This window comes from Homo sapiens, chromosome 4 (assembly GCF_000001405.40).
Source record: "Homo sapiens chromosome 4, GRCh38.p14 Primary Assembly".
Classification (NCBI taxonomy): domain Eukaryota; kingdom Metazoa; phylum Chordata; class Mammalia; order Primates; family Hominidae; genus Homo; species Homo sapiens.
The window spans coordinates 168,344,763-168,365,885 of NC_000004.12; the positions used below are offsets into that span (position 1 = coordinate 168,344,763).

Here is a 21,123-nt window from a genome sequence, read left to right on the forward strand (position 1 = left end):
GATGCAGAAAAGGCCTTTGACAAAATTCAACAGCCCTTCATGCTAAAAACTCTCAATAAACTAGGTATTGATGGAATGTATCTGAAAATAATAAGAGCTATTTATGACAAACCCACAGCCAATATCACACTGAGTGGGCAAAAACTGGAAGCATTCCCTTTGAAAACTGGCACAAGACAGGAGTGCCCTCTCTCACCACTCCTATTCAACATACTGTTGGAAGTTCTGGCCAGGGCAATCAGGCAGGTGAAAGAAATAAAGGGTATTCAATTAGGAAAAGTGGAAGTCAAATTGTCCCTGTTTGCAGATGACATGATTGTAAATTTAGAAAATCCCATTGTCTGAGCCCAAAATCTCCTTAAGCTGATAAGCAACTTCAGCAAAGTCTCAGGATACAAAATCAATGTGCAAAAATCACGAGCATTCCTATACACCAACAACAGACAAACAGAGAGGCAAATCATGAGTGAACTACCATTCACAATTGCTTCAAAGAGAATAAAATACCTAGGAATCCAACTTACAAGGGATGTGAAGGACCTCTTCAAGGAGAACTGCAAATCACTGCTCAATGAAATGAAAGAGGACACAAACAAATGGAAGAACATTCCATGCTCATGGATAGGAAGAATCAATATCGTGAAAATGGCCATACTGCCCAAGGTAATTTATAGATTCACTGCCATCCCCATCAAGCTACCAACGACTTTCTTTACAGAATTGGAAAAAACTACTTTAAAGTTCATATGGAACCAAAAAAGAGCCCGCATTAACAAGACAATCCTAAGCAAAAAGAACAAGGCTGGAGGCATCATGCTACCTGACTTCAAACTATACTTCAAGGCTACAGTAACCAAAACAGCATGGTACTGGTACCAAAACAGAGATATAGACCAATGGAACAGAACAGAGCCCTCAGAAATAATACCACACATCTACAACCATCTGATCTTTGACAAACCTAACAAAAACAAGAAATGGGGAAACGATTCCCTATTTAATAAATGGTGCTGGGAAAACTGGCTACCCATATGTAGAAAGCTGAAACTGGATCCCTTCCTTACACCTTACACAAAAATTAATTCAAGATGGATTAAAGACTTCAATGTTAGACCTAAAACCATAAAAACCCTAGAAGAAAACCTAGGCAATACCACTCAGGACATAGGCATGGGCAAGGACTTCATAACTAAAACAGCAAAAGCAATGTGAACAAAAGCCAAAATAGACAAATGAGATTTAATTAAACTAAAGAGCTTCTGCACAGCAAAAGAAACTACCATCAGAGTGAACAGGCAACCTACAGAATGGGAGAAAATTTTTACAATCTACCCATCTGACAAAGGGCTAATATCCAGAATCTACAAAGAACTTAAACAAATTTATAAGAAAAAATCAAACAACCCCATCAAAAAGTGAGCGAAGGATATGAACAGACACTTCTCAAAAGAAGACATTTATGCAGCCAACAGACAATGAAAAAATGCTCATCATCTCTGGTCATTAGAGAAATGCAACTCAAAACCACAATGAGAGATACCATCTCACACCAGTTAGAATGGCAATCATTAAAAAGTCAGGAAACAACAGGTGCTGGAGAGGATGTGGAGAAATAGGAACATTTTTACACTGTTGGTAGGAGTGTAAACGAGTTCAACCATTGTGGAAGTCAGTGTGGCGATTCCTCAAGGATCTAGAACTAGAAATACCATTTGACCTAGCCATCCCATTACTGGGTATATACCCAAAAGATTATAAATCATGTTACTATAAAGACACATGCACACGTATGTTCACTGCGGCACTATTCACAATAGCAAAGACTTGGAATCAACCCAAATGTCCATCAATGATAGACTGGATTAAGAAAATGTAGCACATATACTCCATGGAATACTATGCAGCTATAAAAAGGATGAGTTCATGTCCTTTGTAGGGACATGGATGAAGCTGGAAACTATCATTCTGAGCAAACTATTGCAAGGACAGAAAACCAAACACTGCATGTTCTCACTCATAGGTGGGAACTGAACAATGAGAACACTTGGACACAGGGCGGGGAACATCACACACCAGGGCCTGTCATGGGATGCGGGGAATGGGGAGGGATGGCGTTAAGAGAAATACCTATTGTAAATGACGAGTTAATGGGTGCAGCACACCAACATGGCACATGTATTCATATGTAACAAACCTGCACATTGTGAACATGTACCCTAGAACTTGAAGTATAATAATAAAAAAAAGGGAAGTGTCTGTGTCTATTGCCCACTTTTTAACATGATGTTGTTTTTTTGCTTGTAAATTTGTTTAAGTTCTTTATAGATGCTGAATATTAGACCTTTGTCAGATCCAACAGTTTGGAAATATTTTCTCCCATTCTGTTAGGTTGTCTGTTTACTCTGCTGATGGTTTCTTTTGCTGTGCAGAAGCTCTTTAGTTTGATTAGGTCCCATTTGTTGATTTTTATTTTTGTTGCAACTGCTTTTGGTATATTTGTCATGAAATCCTTACCTGATCCTATGTCCAAAATGGTATTTTCTTTGTTATCTTCCAGGGTTTTTATAGTTTTATGTTTTACACTTAAGTCTTTAATCCTTCTTGAGTTGATTTTTGTAGGTGGTATAATGTAGGGGTCCAGGCTCAATCTTTTGCATATGGCTACTCAGTTATCTTAGTACCATTTATTGAAGGTGGAGTACTTTCCCCATTGCTTGTTTTTGCCAACTTCATTGACCATCAGATGGTTGTAGGTTTGTAGCAGTTTTTCTGGGCTCTCTATTCAGTTCCATTGTTCTATGTGTCTGTTTTTGTATCAGTACCACACTGATTAGTTACTGTAGTTTTGTAGTATAGTTTTGAAGTCAGTCAATATGACACTTTCAGCTTTGTTCTCTTTGCTTAAGATTGCCTTGGCTATTCGAGCTCTTTTTTTGGTTCCATATTAATTTTACAATATTTTTTCTAATTCTGTTAAGAATGTCATTGGTTTGAGGAAATAGCATTGAATCTACAAATTGCTTTGGGCAGTATGGCCATTTTAACAATATTGATTTTTTCCTTCCATGAGCAATGACTGTTTTTCCATTTGTTTGTGTCGTCTCTGATTTCTTTTAGCAGTGTTTTGTAATGCTCTTTGCAGAGGTCTTTCACTTTCCTGGTAGCTGTATTCCTAGAAATTTTATTCTTATTGTGGTCATTTTTTTTTTTTTTTTTTTTGAGACAGAGTTTCACTCCTTTTGCCCAGGCTGGAGTGCAATGGCGCAACCTCTGTCTCCCAGGTTCAAGCGATTCTTCTGCCTCAGCCTCCCAAGTAGCTGGGATTACAGGTGCCTGTCACCAAGCCCTGCTAATTTTTTGTATTTTTCATGGAGATGGGGTTTCACCATGTTGGCCAGGATGGTCTCAATCTCTTGACTTCATGATCCGCCCACCCCAGACTCCCAAAGTGCTGGGATTACAGGTGTGAGCCACCGCACCCAGCCTGCGGTAATTATAAATGGGATTGCAATCTGGATTTGGCTCTAGCTTGGATGTTATTGGTATATAGAAATGTTGCTGATTTTACTACATTGATTTTGTATCTTGAAACTTTGCTGAAGTTGTTTATCAGAACAAGGAGCTTTTGGGCAGAGACTGTGGGGTTTTCTGGGTATAGAATCATATTGTCTTCAAACAGAGATAGTTTGACTTCCTCTCTTCCTGTTTGGATGTCTTTTTTTTCTCTTGCCTGATTCCTCTGGCTAGGATTTCCAGTACTATGTCAAATAGGAGTCATGGGAGAGAGCATTTTTATCTTGTTCTGCTTTTCAAGGAGAATGCTTCTAGCTTTTGCCCATTCTGCAGGTTGGCTATGGGTTTGTCATAGATGAGTCTTATTATTTTGAAGTCTGTTCCTTCAATGCATAATCGAGGGTTTTAACATGAAAGAATATTGAATTTTATTGAAGGCATTTTCTTCATCTATTGAGATAATTATTTGTTTTTTGGTTTTAATTTTGTGTATGTGGTAAATCACGTTTATTGATTTGCACATTTTGAACCAACCTTGCATCCCAGGGATGAAGCCTACTTGATCATGGGGGAATAGCTTTTCGATGTGCTGCTGAATTTGTTTTGCTAGTATTTTGTTAAGGATTTCTGCATCATATTCACCAAGAATATTGGTCTGAAGTTTTCTTTTTTTGTTGTATCTTTGCTAGGTTTTGGTATCAGGATGATCCTGGCCTCATAAAATGAGTTAGGGAGGAGTCTTTCCTCAATTTTTTGAAACAGTTTCAGTAGGAATGGTACAAGTTATTTTTTATATATCTGATAGAATTTGACTGTGAATTCATCTGGTCCTGGGCTCTTTGTGGTTGGTAGGATTTTTATTAATGATTCAATTTTGGAACTCATTATTGGTCTATTCCTGTCCTGGACCAAGTTATTTCTTCCTAGTCCATTCCTGGGAGGTTGTATGTTCCCAGGATTTTATCCTTTTCTTCTAGGTTTTCTACTTTGTGTGCATAGAGGTGTTTACAGTCACCTCTGTTGAGTGTCTTTTAATATTTCTGCAGGATTAGTGGTAATGCCCCTTTTGTCATCTTTTTCTTTATTGGTCTAGCTAGTGATTTATCAATGTTATTTATTCTCTCAAAGAATCAATTATTAGATTCATTGATCTTCTGTGTGGTTTTCTATATCTCGATTTCCTTCAGCTCAGCACTGATTGTGGTTATTTCTTGTCTTCTGCTAGCTTTGGGGTTGGTTTGCTCATTTCTCTAGTTCCTCTGGGTGTGATGTTAGGTTGTTAATTTGAGATCTTTTTAACTTTTTGATGTGAGCATTCAGTGCTATAAACTTCCCTCGTCACACTGCTTTAGCTGTGTCCCAGAGATTCTGGTATGTTGTATCTTTGTAATCTTTGGTTTCAAAGAATTTCTTGATTTCTGCCTTAATTTCATTGTTTACCCAAAAAGTCATTCAGGGGCAGGTTCTTTAAATTCTATGCTTTTATGTGATTTTCTTAGTATTGATGTATATTTTATTGCACTATGGTCTGAGAGTGTGGTTGGTATGACTTTTTTTTTCTTTTAAATTTACTGAGGACTATTTTATGGCCAATTGTGCAGCAAATTTTAGAGTATGTGCCATGTGCAGATGAGAAGAATGCATATTCTGTTGTTTTGGGGTGGAGGGTTCTGTAGATATCTGTTAGGCCCATTTGGTCAAATGTCAAGTTTTGATCCCGAATATCTTTGCTAGTTTTCTGCCTCAGTGATCTGTCTAATACTGTCAGTGGGGTATTGAACACTCCCATTATTCTTGTGTGGTTATCTAAGTCTCTTCATAGGTCTGTAAGAATTTGCTTTATAAATCTAGGTGCTCCTGTCCCAGGTGCATCTATATTTAGGATAATTAGGTCTTCTTGTTGAATTAACCCCTTTACCATTATGTAATATTGACATGGTTTGGCTCTGTGTCCCTACTCAAATCTCATCTCGAGTTGTAATCCCCACATGTCAAGAGAGAGCCTGGTGGGTGGTGATTGGATCATGGGGGCAGGTTCCCCTATATGCTGTTCTCATGAGTTCCCACAAAATAGTGCATTCTCATGATATCTGATGGTTTAAAAGTGTGTGACAGTTCCCCTTCACTCTCTCTTTCTCTCCTGCCACAATGTAAGATGTGCCTTGATTCCTCTTTGCCTTCTTCCATGATGATAAGTTTCCTGAGGCCTCACCAGCCATGCAGAACTGAGTCAATGAAGCCTCTTTTCTGGCCAGGCGTGGTGGCTCACACCTGTAATCCCAGCATTTTGGGAGGCCAAGGCAGGTGAATCACCTGAGGTCAGGAGTTCAAGACCAGTCTGGCCAACAAGGTGAAACCCCGTCTCCACTAAAAATAAAAAAATTAGCTGGGCACGGTGGTGGACGCCTATAATCCCAGCCTCCCAGCCACTTGGGAGGCTGAGGCAGGAGAATTGCCTGAACCCCAGAGGCAGAGGTTGCAGTGAGTCAAGATCACGCCATTGCACTCCAGCTTGGGCGACAAGATTGAAACTCCCATCTCAAAACAACAACAACAACAACAACAAAAAACCAACAACAACAAAAACAACAAAAAAGCACTTTTCTTTATAAATTACCCAGTCTCACGTAGTTCTTTAGAGCAGTGTGAAAATGGACTAATACAAATATTCTTCTTCTTTTTTTTTTTCCTGGCACAGGGTCTCACTCCATCACTTACTACAATCTCTGCCTCCTGGGTTCAAGTGATTCTCATGCCTCAGCCTCCCAAATAGCTGGGATTACAGGTGCCTATCACCACCCCTGGCTAATTTTTGTATTTTTAGTAGAGACAGGGTTCTACCATGTTGTCCAGGTTGGTCTTGATATCCTGGCCTCGAGTGATCCACCCACATTGGCTTCCCAAAGTGCTGGGATTACAGGCATGAGCCACCATACCTGGCCTTGTCCTTTTTTATTGTTCATTTAAAGGCTGTTTTGTCTAAAATTAGAATACCAATCCCTGCTATTTTTCTGTTTTCCATTTGCATGGTAGGTTTTTCCCCATCTCTTCACTTTGAACCTACTGGTGTCACTGCCTGTGAGATGGGTTTCTTATAGACAGCATACAGTTGGGTCTTGCTTCTTTATCCAACTTGCCACTCTGTGACTTTTAATTGGGGCATTTAGCCCATTTACATTCAAGGTTATTATTGACATGAGCAGATTTTAAACTGCACATGTCTGACTGAGATATTTCAGATAACTGTTCTGCAGTCTCTGAGATTCTTTCCTCAGCTTGGTCGATTCTGCTATTAATACTTGCAACTGTATTCTGAAATTCTTGAAGTGAGTTTGTCAGCTCTTTCAGTTCAGTTCGGTTCTTTCTTAAATGGCCCTTTTGTCTTTATCTCCTGTATTGTTTTCTTATATTCCTTAGAGTGCCAGGACTAGGTTTTGACTTTCTCTTGAATGTTGATGACCTTCATTTCTATTGTGTTGTTAGCTGGTTGTTATGCAGACTTGATTGTGTAGTTGCTTTATAGTGTCAATGGTCTATGTACTTAAGTGTGTTTTGCGGTGACCGTAACAGTCTTTCCTTTCCATATTTAAAGCATTCCCTAAAAGACCTCTTGGAAGGCAGGCCTCATGGTAACCAACTTCCTTAGCATTTGCTTGTCTGAAAAGGATCTTATTTCTCCTTCACTTATGAAAGTTAGTGTGGCTGGATATGAAATTCTTCAGTGGAATGTATTTTCTTTAAGATTACTGAATATAGGCCCCCAATATCTTCTAGCTTGTAGAGTTTCTGCTGCAAGGTCTGCTGTTAGTTTAATGGGGTTCCCTTTGTAGCTGACCTTCCCCTTCTCTAGAACTGCCTTTAACAATTTCTTTCTTTCATTTTGAACTTAAAGAATCTGATGACAATGTGTCTTGGTGATGGTTATCTTGTATAGTATCGTAAAGGTGTTCTCTGTATTTACTGGATTTGAATGTTGGCCACTCTAAAAACGTTGAGGAAATGTGCATGGATGATACCCTTAAATATGTTTTCCAAGTTGCTTGTTTTCACTCCCTGTCTTTCAGGGACAAGAATGAGCCATAGATTTGGTCTCTTCACATAATCCCATATTTCTTGGAGGCTTTGTTCATTCTTTATTGCTTTTGCTTTATTTTTGTCTGACTGAGATATTTCATGTAACTGTTCTGCAATCTCTGAGGTTCTTTCCTCAGCTTGGTTGATTTTGCTGTTAATACTTGCAGTTGTATTCTGAAATTCTTGAAGTGAGATTTTCAGCTCTATCAATTCAGTTTGGTTCTTTCTTAATATGACCCTTTTGTCTTTATCTCCTATATTGTTTTCTTATATTCCTTAGAGTGCTAAGATTGGGTTTTGACTTTCTCTTGAATGCTGATGACCTTCATTCCTTATCCATGTTCTGAATTCTATTTCTGACATTTCAGCCATCTCAGCGTAGTTAAGAACCATTGCTGGGAAACTAGTGTAGTTGTTTGAAGACAAGAAGATACTCTGGCCTTTTCGGTTGTCAGAGTTCTTGAGATGGTTCTTTCTCATCTGTGTGGACTGATGTTCCTAAAGTCTTTGACACTGCTATCCTTTAGATGGGCTTTTTTCCTTTCATCTTCTTTGATGCCCTTGCTTTCATCTTCTTTGATGCCCTTGGGGGTTTGATTATGACATAATGTGGGTTCAGTCTACTGTTTTTAATTCTAGTCTGCTCCTGGGTCTTGCAGGAGCCCCTTCTGATTACTGTCTCCATGCCCACGTTTCTTTTGTTGTGTGTTCTGGTCCACAAGGCTCCCTCAGGTAGGGACTCCTGTTGGCAGACAGGCTGAATCCTTGCCCGTCAGCCTTAATCTGCTGTCCAAATGCCTCCTGGGAGAACATGGGGTTGCACCTGCCCAGAGAGTTCAGGCAGAAGTGGTACCATTGGGCTGGAAGCTCTAGCAGATGTGGGCCATCTGGCTATGAGAAGCTGGGACAGGTAGAGCTGCCCACCCTGCCTTTGGGTCATTTCCAGAGTAACAGGAGGCTAGGCCCCTCACTTAATTCAGGCAGTGTAGGACTCTGGTCTAGAAGCTGTAGCTGGCATGGTTCCCCTGGTTATCAGTGACGGGGATAGGTGGGTTCACCAATTCTGACATCTGGGTGCTTCCTAGAACAAGGGGCTGTGCCCTAGGGCTGAGTTCACACAAGTGTGACCACTAGGCCAAAAGCTCTAGTAACCATAGCACTTCTGGCCATGAGTGAAAAGGGTAGGTGAGGTAGCCCATCCTGCCATCTGGGCATTTCCTGGGACAATGAGAGGCTGCAGCTGCCAGTTGAGTTCAAATCAAAGCAGAACCACTGGGCCAGAAGCTAGCACTAGTACCGACCCCCATTTGGCAAATAGGGTGGAGCAGTCTTACTACTCCCAGGCACTACAACTATGGCCTCCATTGGAGCTACCATGCCAGATTCTGGTTTGCTATAGGGCCCAAGGCTTGTAGATGTCCCCTTTGTCTCAAGAGTTGCCCCTACTAAATTTCCAGGTGGTTCTATGCCTCAGCCTAGAAGCAGGGTAGGGGAAATGTGGATGGGAAGAGACAGACAGGGAGATCCTGTCATTTCCAGTATTGCACAGGTGCCTGTGAAGAGCATGAGTCATCCAGGGGTCTCTTACTCACTTATCCTTTCCCATGTCAGAGAGGTTCTTCTGGCTCTATGATGAGCCCAGACAGGCTGGTGCCTGGCTTCACGACTCCCTGCTTTGTCCCCCTGCTACCTTGATGGATTCCAATGTGGTTTCTCTAATGCAGCCTTCAGGGTGAGTTTTCACTAGCTACTTTGTTTCCTTTCCATGAGAGTGGTGCTTCTAGTCTGCCATCTTAGCCCAATCCCCTTCGAGATTTTTATTTTGAAAAGGTAAATCATCGATTTAATTTCACTGGATGTTTCATATAAAGATACTGTCTTCAAATACTAATTATATTTGCAAAGCAAAAGAAGAATAAAAACAATATGTATAATCATCATTTAAACTCTGAATTTCAGAATTTTTAAGTCTCAAAAAGGGGAACATTTTTAGTAACATATTAGGTCAAACCTAAGTTGACTAAAATTATCTAACTGAATTCTTAGCCTAAGCAAAAATCTCATGAATCCATTTTATTTCTTTTTATATTTTATGTTGTCTTTTTGTAAGAAAACAATTTATAGAAATTCCAGAATTTTATTTAAGATGGTATTGTTTTAGTTAGGGGTCTCCAGAGAAACAGAAACAATAGAACATATACAGAGAGATATGAGGAGATTTATTTTAGGAATTGGCTCATGTGGTTATAAAAGTCAAGAAGTTCTGTGATCTGCCACTTGCAAGCTGGAGAAACAGGAAAGCAGGAAGTATAATTCAGTCCCAGCCCAAAGACCTGAGGATTGGCGATGGAGCCTGTGGGTTGCCAATGGTGTATGTCCCACTCTGAGTCCAAAAGCCCCAGAATCAGGAGTGCTGATGTCTAAGGGCAGCAGAAGATGGATGTATCTGTTCAAGCAAAGAAAGTAAATTTGCCTTTCCTCTACCTTTTTGTTCTATTCTGTCCCTCAGTAAATTGGATAATGCCTGCTCCTCTGTTCTTGCTTGCTGCCTACTTTATCCATGGAAGCCCATAGCAAATTAATTATTTTAAATTAACTATTTTAAATTTCCATTCTGATAATTCCAACACTTCTGCCAAGTCTGATTCTGACGCTTGCTCCATCTCTTCAAACTGGTTTTTTTGCCTTTTAGTAATTTTTTGCCCAGTAATTTTTTCTTGATAGCCAGATATAATGTACTGGGTAAAAAGAACTGCTGTAAACAACAGGTCTTTAGTAATGCGGTGGTAAGTTGTTGGGGGAGTGGTCTATAGTCCTATACAGTCATGCATTGCATAATGACATTTTGGTCAATGACAGACTGCATATATGGCAGTGGCCCCATAAGATTATAACACCATATATTTATTGTACCTTTTCTATGTTTAGATATGTTTAGCTATACAAATATTTACCATTGTGTTATAAGTACCTATAGTGTTGAGTACAGTAAAATGCTATACAGTCTTGTAGCCTAAGAGCTATAGTTTATACCACATGGTTTAGGAGTATAATAGGCTACACTATCTAAGTTCATGTAAGTACACTCCATAATGTTCACACAATGACAAAAATCACCTAACAATGTATTTCTCAGAACATATTTCCATTAAGAAGAGACTTATGACTATAATTATTTCTGTCATTTAGTGAGCTTGTGCCTCAAGACTATGAACTTTACAAGTGCTCCTCAGCTTTATTCTACGCCCTGCTTTAGGTGGGGTAGATGGCTAGAGTGGGCTGAAGTTGGGTATTTCCCTTCTAACAGGTGAGTTAGTCTCTGATAAAACTCCAGCAGGCTAGTCTCTGAGTAACTAGTTTCTCTTGAGGGCAGACCTTATTAAAAAGAACAGAGTGCTCTGGCACATTTTAAAACAGTTTATTTTATCTTACTCCTTCCAGAAGCATGAGGGGATTCTTCTCCAATATTCAGTTCCCAGATATAAAACTCACAGAAGCATGGCTCCCAGCTGAATGTATCCCCCTGGAGTTTTCAGCTCTCAGATGTGCCCACACTGAGCAATTCGTTCATTAAAGTTCAGGTTTTCCTACTCCAGCACTATTTCCTGTGGAGGTTTCTGCCTCAGTATGTTGTGATTCTCTGTATCCACCTGCCTTTTGCTCGAATTTGAGGGGCCTGTGACATCACTTCTCTCAGGGATGTAGAATAATTATCAATTTTTCAGTTCATTTCTATTTTCACTAATTAGGATGGAGTGGTTGATTCCAAGATTCTTACATGAGAAACCAGAAACTAGAAGTCACATCCATTTACTTTTAATTTGCATATGTCTTTATGTTTAAAAGAGGTTTCTTGTAGACAACACATAGTTGGTTATTGTGTTTTGATCCACTCTGACAATCTCTCTTTTGCTGTGTTTAAGCCTTTGATATTTAAAGTTATTATCTATAAAGCTGGATTAATATCTACTATGTTTGTTACTATGTGCTTATTTTAAATAAAAATTTTAGGATTAGCCCTAAGAAAATAGTCACAAGTAAGATTTTGGCACATGACTAATATAAACCAATTTTGGGTTAAATTCTAAGGAAAAGAGGCTTTTCCATTTCTAGACAAAGTGTTTTTCTAAGCCTATGTAATGTATCTGTTAAGTAATGCCATATGATAAATGGTGTCTTGGTACATTCTGGATGATACAAAAGGTTATGTCTTTCACCCTGAGAAAGAAATGCTCTGTGTTCAAGGTCTAGGTCTAAAACAGATTTTGTAGTATGTGACCTAGGGCTGCAGTAAAGATAGATAGCAATGAAAGCAAAATACCTAATGCGTAGGTGTCTACAAATGGATGGACTAACAGATTTAACATAAGGAACACAACAGTAAATCAATTTAATGCCCTTTATTTTCTGATGGGTGCCAAGTCACTTACTACATAAACTACAACAATACCAAGTTTTCAGCTAATTGTTTGCTTAAAGAATCACAGAACTTACATTCAAGATTTCATTTACATACAAAATTCACTTGAGGTTTTCTGGTTGAAACTTTCAATAGCTTTAAGAATTATATTCTCTAATTTTTAAATCACTTGCAGTTTAAGCTCATTTGAGAAACTTTTTTCTCCTTCAGAGTACCGTATTCATTTATCACAGCAAAAACGCACCTTTAAAGGTTTGTTTTTGTTATGGTTGCTGTTTGTTCCCTTATGTTTGTTTGTATGCTTGTTTTTTAAGTATGATACTGAGGGCAGAAACAATCTGAATTCCATATTCGGGTTCACAGGGTATATATATTTTTTCTGTTAGATACACACTCCTTAATCACTGCCAGGAAGTGTACTCTTGATCATTTAGAAATAAGAAAGTGTAGGGGACTTAAACAAAATCTATCATTGCTATTGAACAAAACAGTTGAATCAGCATGTTCTGCTTTCAACAGGAAAGTGGTTTATAACTACTCCAAGTGACTGTTTTAGTCAATTCAGACTGCTTCAACAGAAAACCACAGACTAGATGGCTAAACAACAAACATGTATTTCTCACAATCCTGGAGGCTGGAAAGTTCAAGATCATGGTGTAAGTAGATTCAGTTCTGTTGAGGGCTTGCTTCTTGGTCTGCAGATGGCCATCTTCCCATTGTATCATCCAGTGGTAGTGAGCAGAGATTGGAGAACAAGCTCTCTTGTCTCTCTGTTAAAGGCACTAATTACATCCAAGGAGCTCCACCCTCATGACCTATCATCTCCTAATACCATCACATTGAGGGTTAGAATTTCAATATAAAAATTTTGGAGGGGAGGGCACAAACATCCAGTCCACAGCAGTGAGTTTCTTGTAATCTCAGAAGTCTTCTTACATAACTAAATTGTTGTTCAGAATTGATTTGGGTCCTTTGTGATTTATTGATCATTAATTTAAAATTCAATTAACTTGGGGATGTATTGAAAACTTGACAATGTGAAACTAATTTTGCTATACATTAACTACTAAAAAAACCACTACCGTTCATTAAGTCACCACCCAATCCCAATCACTTTTCTTACATTATCTCATTTAATCCTCAAAACAACTAGAGGTATTCATTTTTACTCCGGTTTTGCCAAAAATGAAGTTAAAGCTCAGATATATTACATAACTTAAAGTCATTCAGTTAGAAAATAGCAGAGCTGATATCTGAGTTTAATTCTGTTTGACTCCAAGACAAACATTTTTTCCATTTCATTGTGTAAGCTTAATTATATCTCTCCTTGCAAAGGGATAAATACCACATAATCAGACTTGAAAGTTTTCCATGGTGTTATTCTAAATGATTTTGACTCATTTGAATTTGCATTTCTTGAAGTTTCTCATAAAAGGTTTGACTCAATTGTTTAAATGCCAGGACTACATTGTCACGCTTATTTTCACATAGTTCACTCAAGGAGTCACTGTATAAATGATAATAATAATAAAAAAATAATGAGCCCACATTTTTATAACAATCAATATTATTAAAAGGTTAGCAGAAGTAATTCCCCCCAAAATCTATCAGATGTAAATATGGAGAAAAAGTACGCAGAATATTAATAAAATGCACAGTTATCTTGTAAAATCTTTACAACATACATCATGTATCTTGAGAAAGATAAAGATATATACCTTCACACAGTTCTTCTTTTTTTCTTTTTTCTTTTTCTTTTTTTTTTTTTTTTTTTTTGAGACAGAGTCTCGCTCTGTTGCCCAGGTTGGAGTGCAGTGGCGTGATCTGATCTCGGCTCACTGCAACCTCTGCCTCCTGGGTTCAAGCAATTCTCTGCCTCAGCCTCCTGAGTAGCTGGGATTATAGGCACCCGGCTAATTTTTATATTTTTAGTAGCGACAGGGTTTCACCATCTTGGCCAGGCTGGTCTTGAACTCCTGACCTCGTGATCCACCCGCCTCGGCCTCTCAAAGTGCTGGGATTACAGGCGTGGGCCACCGTGTCCGGCCACAGTTCCTCTTTATATTACACCTAAACTTGCTCTGTGAGTTTGTAAGACCACAGAATTCCATATTCTTAGAACCTAGAAGTGTTATTCAACTTCTTTTCTTCTCTTTACACATCTCATGAAAGCCATATGGACTTCCTAATATAGGGACAATTATTTTTAAAAACCCACAGTCACCCAATTCAGTGGAAAAAAATTCTGTCCCTATCCATATATCTTAGGATAGAAGCTGGGGTGAATGAGAGGAGACATAGAAAAGTGAGTCCCTCAGCTACCTGACATGCTATTCGAGCATTGCAATCAATTGGGATTTGACATTTTGCCATCCTTTTCGTTTTCATGCTCCACCTTATTCACTCTAGAGCAGAGTTTCAGTTTTTTACTAGTCCTCAGTGGCTGAATATTAGGAATGATCACATCTTTATCTCTAAGTCTGAAATTCCTCCAGAGTTTCAGACATATTATTCTATTGACTGCTGAACATTTCCCCCTGGATGTCTTATAGACAACACATGTGACATTTTAAATTCCAACTCATACTTTTTTATTGTCAGTTCTGAAGTCATCATCATGTATTCCCTACTTTCATTAACACTATCATTAACCAAATTAGAAACCCAATTTGTCATAATATCTCTTTCCCCATTGCATGAATTCCTCCTCTTAAATATTTCTCCAATCCTTATCATTCATTTCTACCACCACTGCCTAATTCAAGCCTTCATTTTCTCTCACCTGGAATATGGGTATAGCCTCCAGCTTTAGCTCCCTGCTTTCAGTTTCTCTACCTCTTGAGTTAATCTATATACCCTGCCAGAATAATATCTCTAAAACATAGATCTATGTCGTACTCATCCTTAGAAACTCCCCTTTGTCTACCATTTGTCTCACCTTTGTCTACCATTTTAAATCCAAACTTCATTGCCTAACAAATAAGACCCTTCGCATATACAACCAAATTCCTTTCAAAGACTCCACACTCACTTCTCAGCATTTTCCCCAGTCCCTGTCACAACCTCCACATTCTGTACTCCACCATCATTAGCTTGGGGCCTATCCCCGAATACATCAGGACCTTTAATATTTCTGCACATTTGGATACACTATTCTCCCTGCTTAAAATCTGACTACCCTAATTATTCTACTTAATTATCCTAATTAACTAGAATTATATTAAGTATAATTAATCTACTTAATGAATTTTCACTTCTCCTTTAAGACCTGATTGGAAATTACATCTTCTATAATGCTTTTTCCGATTATAGTAGCATTAATCATAAAGTTATTTATGTTATCTTAGTATTTTGTGTATAACTCAATCATAGCACTTACCACATATGACTGTCTACAAGAAAGTTTCTCCCATGACATTGAAGTGCCTGGAAGAGTGCCTCTAACACAGTAAGACCTTGATACTTTTATAATTGATAAATGAATGAAGGAATTATTTTTCCTGTTTAAACTCTTGAGATACATTTAAAATCTCCAAAGTTTCTCAGGCTACTCAAAGAGGTTGTAGCTTTGGTAGCTATAAGCCACTTGAGGAATCCTTTATGTAGAGATACTCCAAGTGGGCAAAGGAGGGTCATCCTAAGACTTTCACTCTTTGTAGAAAGCTTCCCAAAGGGTCAGACTCGGCTCAGACCAAGGAAAACCACAAATATGTCCTCACTAACAAGGAACTCTAAATAAATATTCTCCTTCCAAAACTGAATTTACGTGAAAAACCACATACACTTGATAAAGAAGTAAGGACTAGAGGTAAGGAAAATGGAGCTAGACAAAAACTGGATGACCAATGGAGCATAGAGAAAGGAGTGCCCACATAGAGTTCATATTTGCTTGGGTCTCTGTTGAGCATTGGGCAGATGAACATAGGAAATCAATGGGAGCTGCCAGAGTCTGGGAAAGGCACTGGGTACGAGAAAGATTTAACTGCTTTGAAGTGGATATAAACCAGAGACCTACTGAAGTCATTTATCTGACTCAGTGTGACTGCTCAGCATTTGTAGAAATTGAGTATAGTGAGAATATAGCGAGGCCTGGAGATTTATGAAGTCATGAGGAAGAGCCTTCCAGGCTCTGATCCGAATGAAATTCAATTACAAATGGATTTGAGATGAATCTTAATACAAAAAAAACAGCGTGACAGTGTCCTGAGGAATGGGTCTACAGAGCCTTTGGATAGCTGAATTGTAGAGAACCTGGGAGGCTCAATAGTATCTTCAGAGTGCTCCTTCATGAGAATCACAAACTTACACAAAGGAAGAGCTATATGTTTGCTAAACTATCATTAAATAATTGAGAAAATCAAACTCAGCATGAAACATACCTGATAGCCTGAATGTTGAATGCAAAATCTTTCAAACACTTTAAAAGCTGTCCCATACGCATCCTAAAGAGAACAACATTTCTTAATTAAAAAGTATAAAAACATAAACATAAAAGAATTAACTCAAACTTTAATAGTGGTCTGTCCATGGCAGTTAATTTATCTGCCAAATGCACTCCCAGTTAAGCATTCTATTGTATTAATCATAATGAAATTGAGAGGCATAGGTAAAAACCACAAAAAAAATTATTAAAGAGATAATTTGACCATTATCAAAGGGGGAGGGTGAAATATAAAAGTAAAGCATAGAAGGGTCAATGAGGACTACAGATTAAAGTGAAAACAAAACAAGTTGATAGACTAATATTATTTCTACTTACTTCTTCTACTTTCTTAGTTCTATTTCTACTTTCTTAGTTCTTCATAACTAAGAACTAGACCTAAGAAAAACAGATGTAGCTCAAGATTTGTCAAGAATAGGAGAACATTGAACAAGATGCAAGATGCCTCTGCCACACTGTCTCTCCTACCAGAAATGACTGGGAGTCAGGGTGGCTTCTTCCTACAGGAAAATGGTATGCAAAAGACTTCCAGCGGTTTCCACAGCCATCACAGATGCCAGCAGTTCTTGCTACAAGAGAGTCTCCCAGTCCTCACAGGCCCAGAATCTATTTTGGAGAGTTGCCAGAAGTTTAAGTAGTTTCGTTGCCCCAGAGTAAGAGCCCACATTGTGTATCTCCTCCTTCATGACCTAAGCAGCTATGGCATGATGACATTTTGAAGGCCAGTAGCCAATCTCTCTCTCCATCCCTGAAGCCCCACTATCATTTCACATCCAAAGCTATGTGGCAGCCCACCACCCACTGGGGAAAAGGCAGACATGCACAGCAAGAAAACCACTGAACAGGTGGCCAGGCCACTGCACCAGTGCATACTCGTGCTGCGCAGCCAGAAAAACCACCATGCCTGCACCAACCCATGCCAAGCCTGGCAGCCAGGGCAGAGGTGGCCCCACCTCCTGAAAAGACTGCGGCATGCCAGTCAGCCCAGCATGCATTTGCATGTGCCTGGCCTGACAGCCAGTTCAGCAGAGGCCTCACCTTCCCAGGGACACTGCCACACAGCCAGCAGTCCCACTACACATGCACTTGGCCCAATATCCAGTTCAACAGCAGCCCGACCTCCCCATAGACACTGCCACACAGCTGGCCAGCCCACATATGCCTGCACTCAAACCAACAGCAGTCCAACAGTGGTCTTACCTCCTCCAGAGACACTACTGCACAGCTGGCTGGCTCACTGCACCCACAGATACCCAGCTCAAGAGCCAGCCTGGTGATAGCCTCACTTCTCTGGAGAGTCCACCATACAGCCTGCTGGCACACTGAACCAAAATATTCCTGCCCCAAATAACCAGCTCAGTGCCCCTGCCCCCACCAAAACCATACCACCAACATCTGTAGCCTATCCTCCTGTAGATATCATACAAAAGAACCAAAAAAATCGTGGAGCTAAAGAATTCAATGCATTAAGTTTTAAAAGAATGAGAGCTTTAGCAACAGACTAGATCAAGCTAAAGAAATAATTTCTGAATTTGAAGACTGGTCTTTTGAAATAACCAGTCAAAGAGGGAAAAAGAATAAAAAGGAATTAAGAAACCATATAGGACTTATGGGACACCATTAAATGAACAAATATTCACCTTATAGGGGCACCAGAGGGAGAAGTAGAGAGATATTTTGTTATTATTATTAACAAAATAATAGCTGAAAACTTCCCATGTCTTGGGAGATATATGCATCTAAGAAGCTCAAAAGTCCCCAATTAGTTTCAACCCACAAAGATACTCTCTGAGGCACATTATAACCAAACTGTCAAAAGTCAAAGACAAAGAATTCTAAATGCTGAAGAGAAAAGCATCAAGTCACACATAACGGAATCCTCATGAGACTATCAGCAGATTCCCAGCAGAAACCTCACAGGCCAGGAAAGAATGGAATGATATATTCAAAGCGCTGAAAGAAAAAGAAAAGTCAGTCAAGAATACTACATCCAGGAAAGCTATCCTTCAGAAATGAAGGAGAAATAAAGATCTTCCCAGACAAGCAAAAGCTGAGGAAATTTATCACTACTAGTCTAGGCTTACAAGAAATTCTTAAGTGAATGCTACAACTAAAAATGAAAGAATGATCATTACTATCACAAAAATATTTGAAAGATTAAAACTCATCGATAGAAGTAAATTCGTAATCAAATTCAGAATAACCTCATGCTGTCTGGGTGCTACGGAAATCCTTCAGTTCTCTAGTCCGAAAGCTTTAAGTCAAAATGGTCAAAAAACAACAACACCTACAATTAATGACTAAAGAATACACAATAGATAAAGATGTAAATTAAGTCAACAAAAACAGAAATTATTGTGGGGAAGCAAGAAAGTCTAAAATATTTTTATGTGACCAAAGTCAAGTTGTTATCAGCATAAAATAGTCTATTATAACTACAAGACTCTTTATGTTAGCACATGATAACCACAAAGAAAGAACTTAGAGCAGGCACACAAATGAGAAAAAAGAAGAAAATAAAGCTTAGCACCACAGAAAACCACCAAACCACAGACATAAACAACAAGAGAGGAATAAAGGAACAAAGAATCTACAAAACGACCAGAAAACAATGAACAAAATGGCAGATGTAAGTTCTTACCTACTTATAATTACCTCGAAAATAAATAAAGTCTCCAGTTAAAAGATACAGAGTGAATGGATTTTATTTTAAAGGTAACAGAGTAAAACCCTGTCTGTACAAAAAAGAAAAATAAAAAATTAGCCAGGTGTGGTGGTGTGCACCTGTAGTCCTAGCTACTCAGGAGGCTGAGCTGGGAGGACTGAATGAACCCAGGAGTTGGAGGCTGCAGTGAGCTATGATTGTGCCACTGTACTCCAGCCCCAGTGACAGAGAGAGACTCCATCTCTTAAAAAAATTAACTCAATGTACAATTGTATGCTGACTACTACAGAATCACCTCACCATTAAAGACAAGCATAGAATGAAAGTGAAGGAAGGGACAAAGATATCCCATGCAAAGAGAAATCAAAAGTGAGCAGGAGTAGCAATACTTATATCAGATAAAATGAACTTTAAGACAAAAACTATAAAAAGGACAAAGTCATTATATAATGATAAAGGAATCAATTCAACAAGAGGATATAGCATTGTAATTCTATATACCAAAACATCCAAATATATAAAGCAATTATTATTAGATCTAAAAGGAGAGACAAACTGCAGTATAATAATATTAGGGACTTCAACATCCCACTTTCAACAATGAATGGGTCATCCAGGCGAAAAAATAACAAGGAATCATCAGAATTAAACTGCACCATAGACCAAATTGACCTAACAGCCTTTTTTTAGAGACAGGGTCTTGCTGTGATGCCTAGGCTGGTCTTGAACTCCTGACCTCAAGTGATCATCCCACCTCAACCTCCCAAAGTGCTGGGATTACAGGTGTGGGCCACTGTGCCTGGCTGATATTTTTTACAGAATATTCTGTCCAACAGCTTCAGAATGCACATTTTTCTCAACCGTACATGGAACATTCTCTTGGATAGATCATATGTTTGATCACCAAACAAGTCTGAACAAATTTAAGAATATAGAGATCATATCAAGTAACTTTTCTGAGCAAAATGGTATGAAACTAGAAATCAGCAACAAGAAATGCTCTGGAAAATTTACAAATACATGGAAATTAAACAACTACTCTTAAAAAAAACCCAACAGATCAATAAGCAAATTAAAAGGGAAACTTAAATATTTCTTAAGACAAATGAGAATGGAAACACATTATAACAAAACTTATGGAACACAGAAAAAGCAGTTTTAAAATGGAATTTATAGCAATAAAGGCCTAAATCAAAAAAGAAGAAACATTTTTACTAAACAACCAAATGATGCACCTCAAGAAACTTAATATACAAGAACAAACTAAACCCAAAACTGGTAGAAGGAAAGAATAAAGCTTAAAGAAGCAGACGTAAACAAAATAGAGGCAAAAAATGCAATTTGAAAGGTCAGTGAAATGAAGATGGTTTTAAAAAGATAAACAAAATTGATAAACCTTTAGCTAGACTAAGAAAAAAGAGGGAAGACTAAAATAAATAAAATTAGATATTAAAAAGGAGACATTACAACAGTTCCACAGAAGTACAAAAAATAATAAGATACTATTATCAACAACTATACACTAACACATTTGATAACATGGGAGAAATGGCTAAGTTCCTGGACATATACAACTTCCCAAAATTAAATAAAGAAGAAATAGAAAATCTAAACAGAGCAGTAATGAGAGAAGAAATTGAACTAGTAATCATAAGTTTTTCATCAGAAAAAAAAAAAAGCCCACGACTTAATGGCTTCACTGCTGAATTCTACCAAACATTTAAAGAAGACTAATACCAATCCTCTTCAAGCTATTAAGGGAATTTAAGAGGAGGGACTACTTCCAAATTTTTTTTACAAGACCAACATTATTCTGACTCCAAAACCAGATAAGGATACAGCAACAACAACAAAAATTATAGGCCAATATCTCTGATAAACACAAATCCAAAAATTCTCAACAAGATACTAGCAAACCAAATTCAAAAGCACATTAAAAATGTCATTCAATAAGATCAAGGGGGATTTATCCAGGGAATGCAAGGATAGTGCAATATATGCAAATCAATA

The 21,123-nt window shown here is 38.3% G+C and overlaps 1 protein-coding gene across 20 annotated transcripts in view, besides 1 other annotated feature; it reads right to left on the reverse strand.

Moving 5' to 3' along the window:
- DDX60L (DExD/H-box 60 like) overlaps positions 11,973–21,123 on the reverse strand; it is a 123,758-nt gene continuing 114,607 nt past the window's right edge. For all 20 annotated transcript variants that reach the window (XM_047416399.1, XM_005263341.5, XM_011532403.3 and 17 more), the window contains 2 exons: positions 16,387–16,449; positions 11,973–13,514 (listed from right to left, as the gene is read on the reverse strand). In XM_047416399.1, the coding sequence (XP_047272355.1) occupies positions 13,385–13,514; positions 16,387–16,449 (193 nt within the window). In that variant the 3' untranslated portion in view covers positions 11,973–13,384. The remainder of the gene's footprint in view (positions 13,515–16,386; positions 16,450–21,123) is intronic.
- Positions 19,134–19,303: an enhancer, noted in NCBI's record as "experimental_76106 CRE fragment used in MPRA reporter constructs". NCBI's record gives its function as "activates a minimal promoter by MPRAs in K562 erythroleukemia cells, with activity observed for both the introgressed and non-introgressed 4:169285132 variant alleles {active_cell/tissue: K562}" and the evidence as "EXISTENCE:reporter gene assay evidence [ECO:0000049][PMID:34662402]".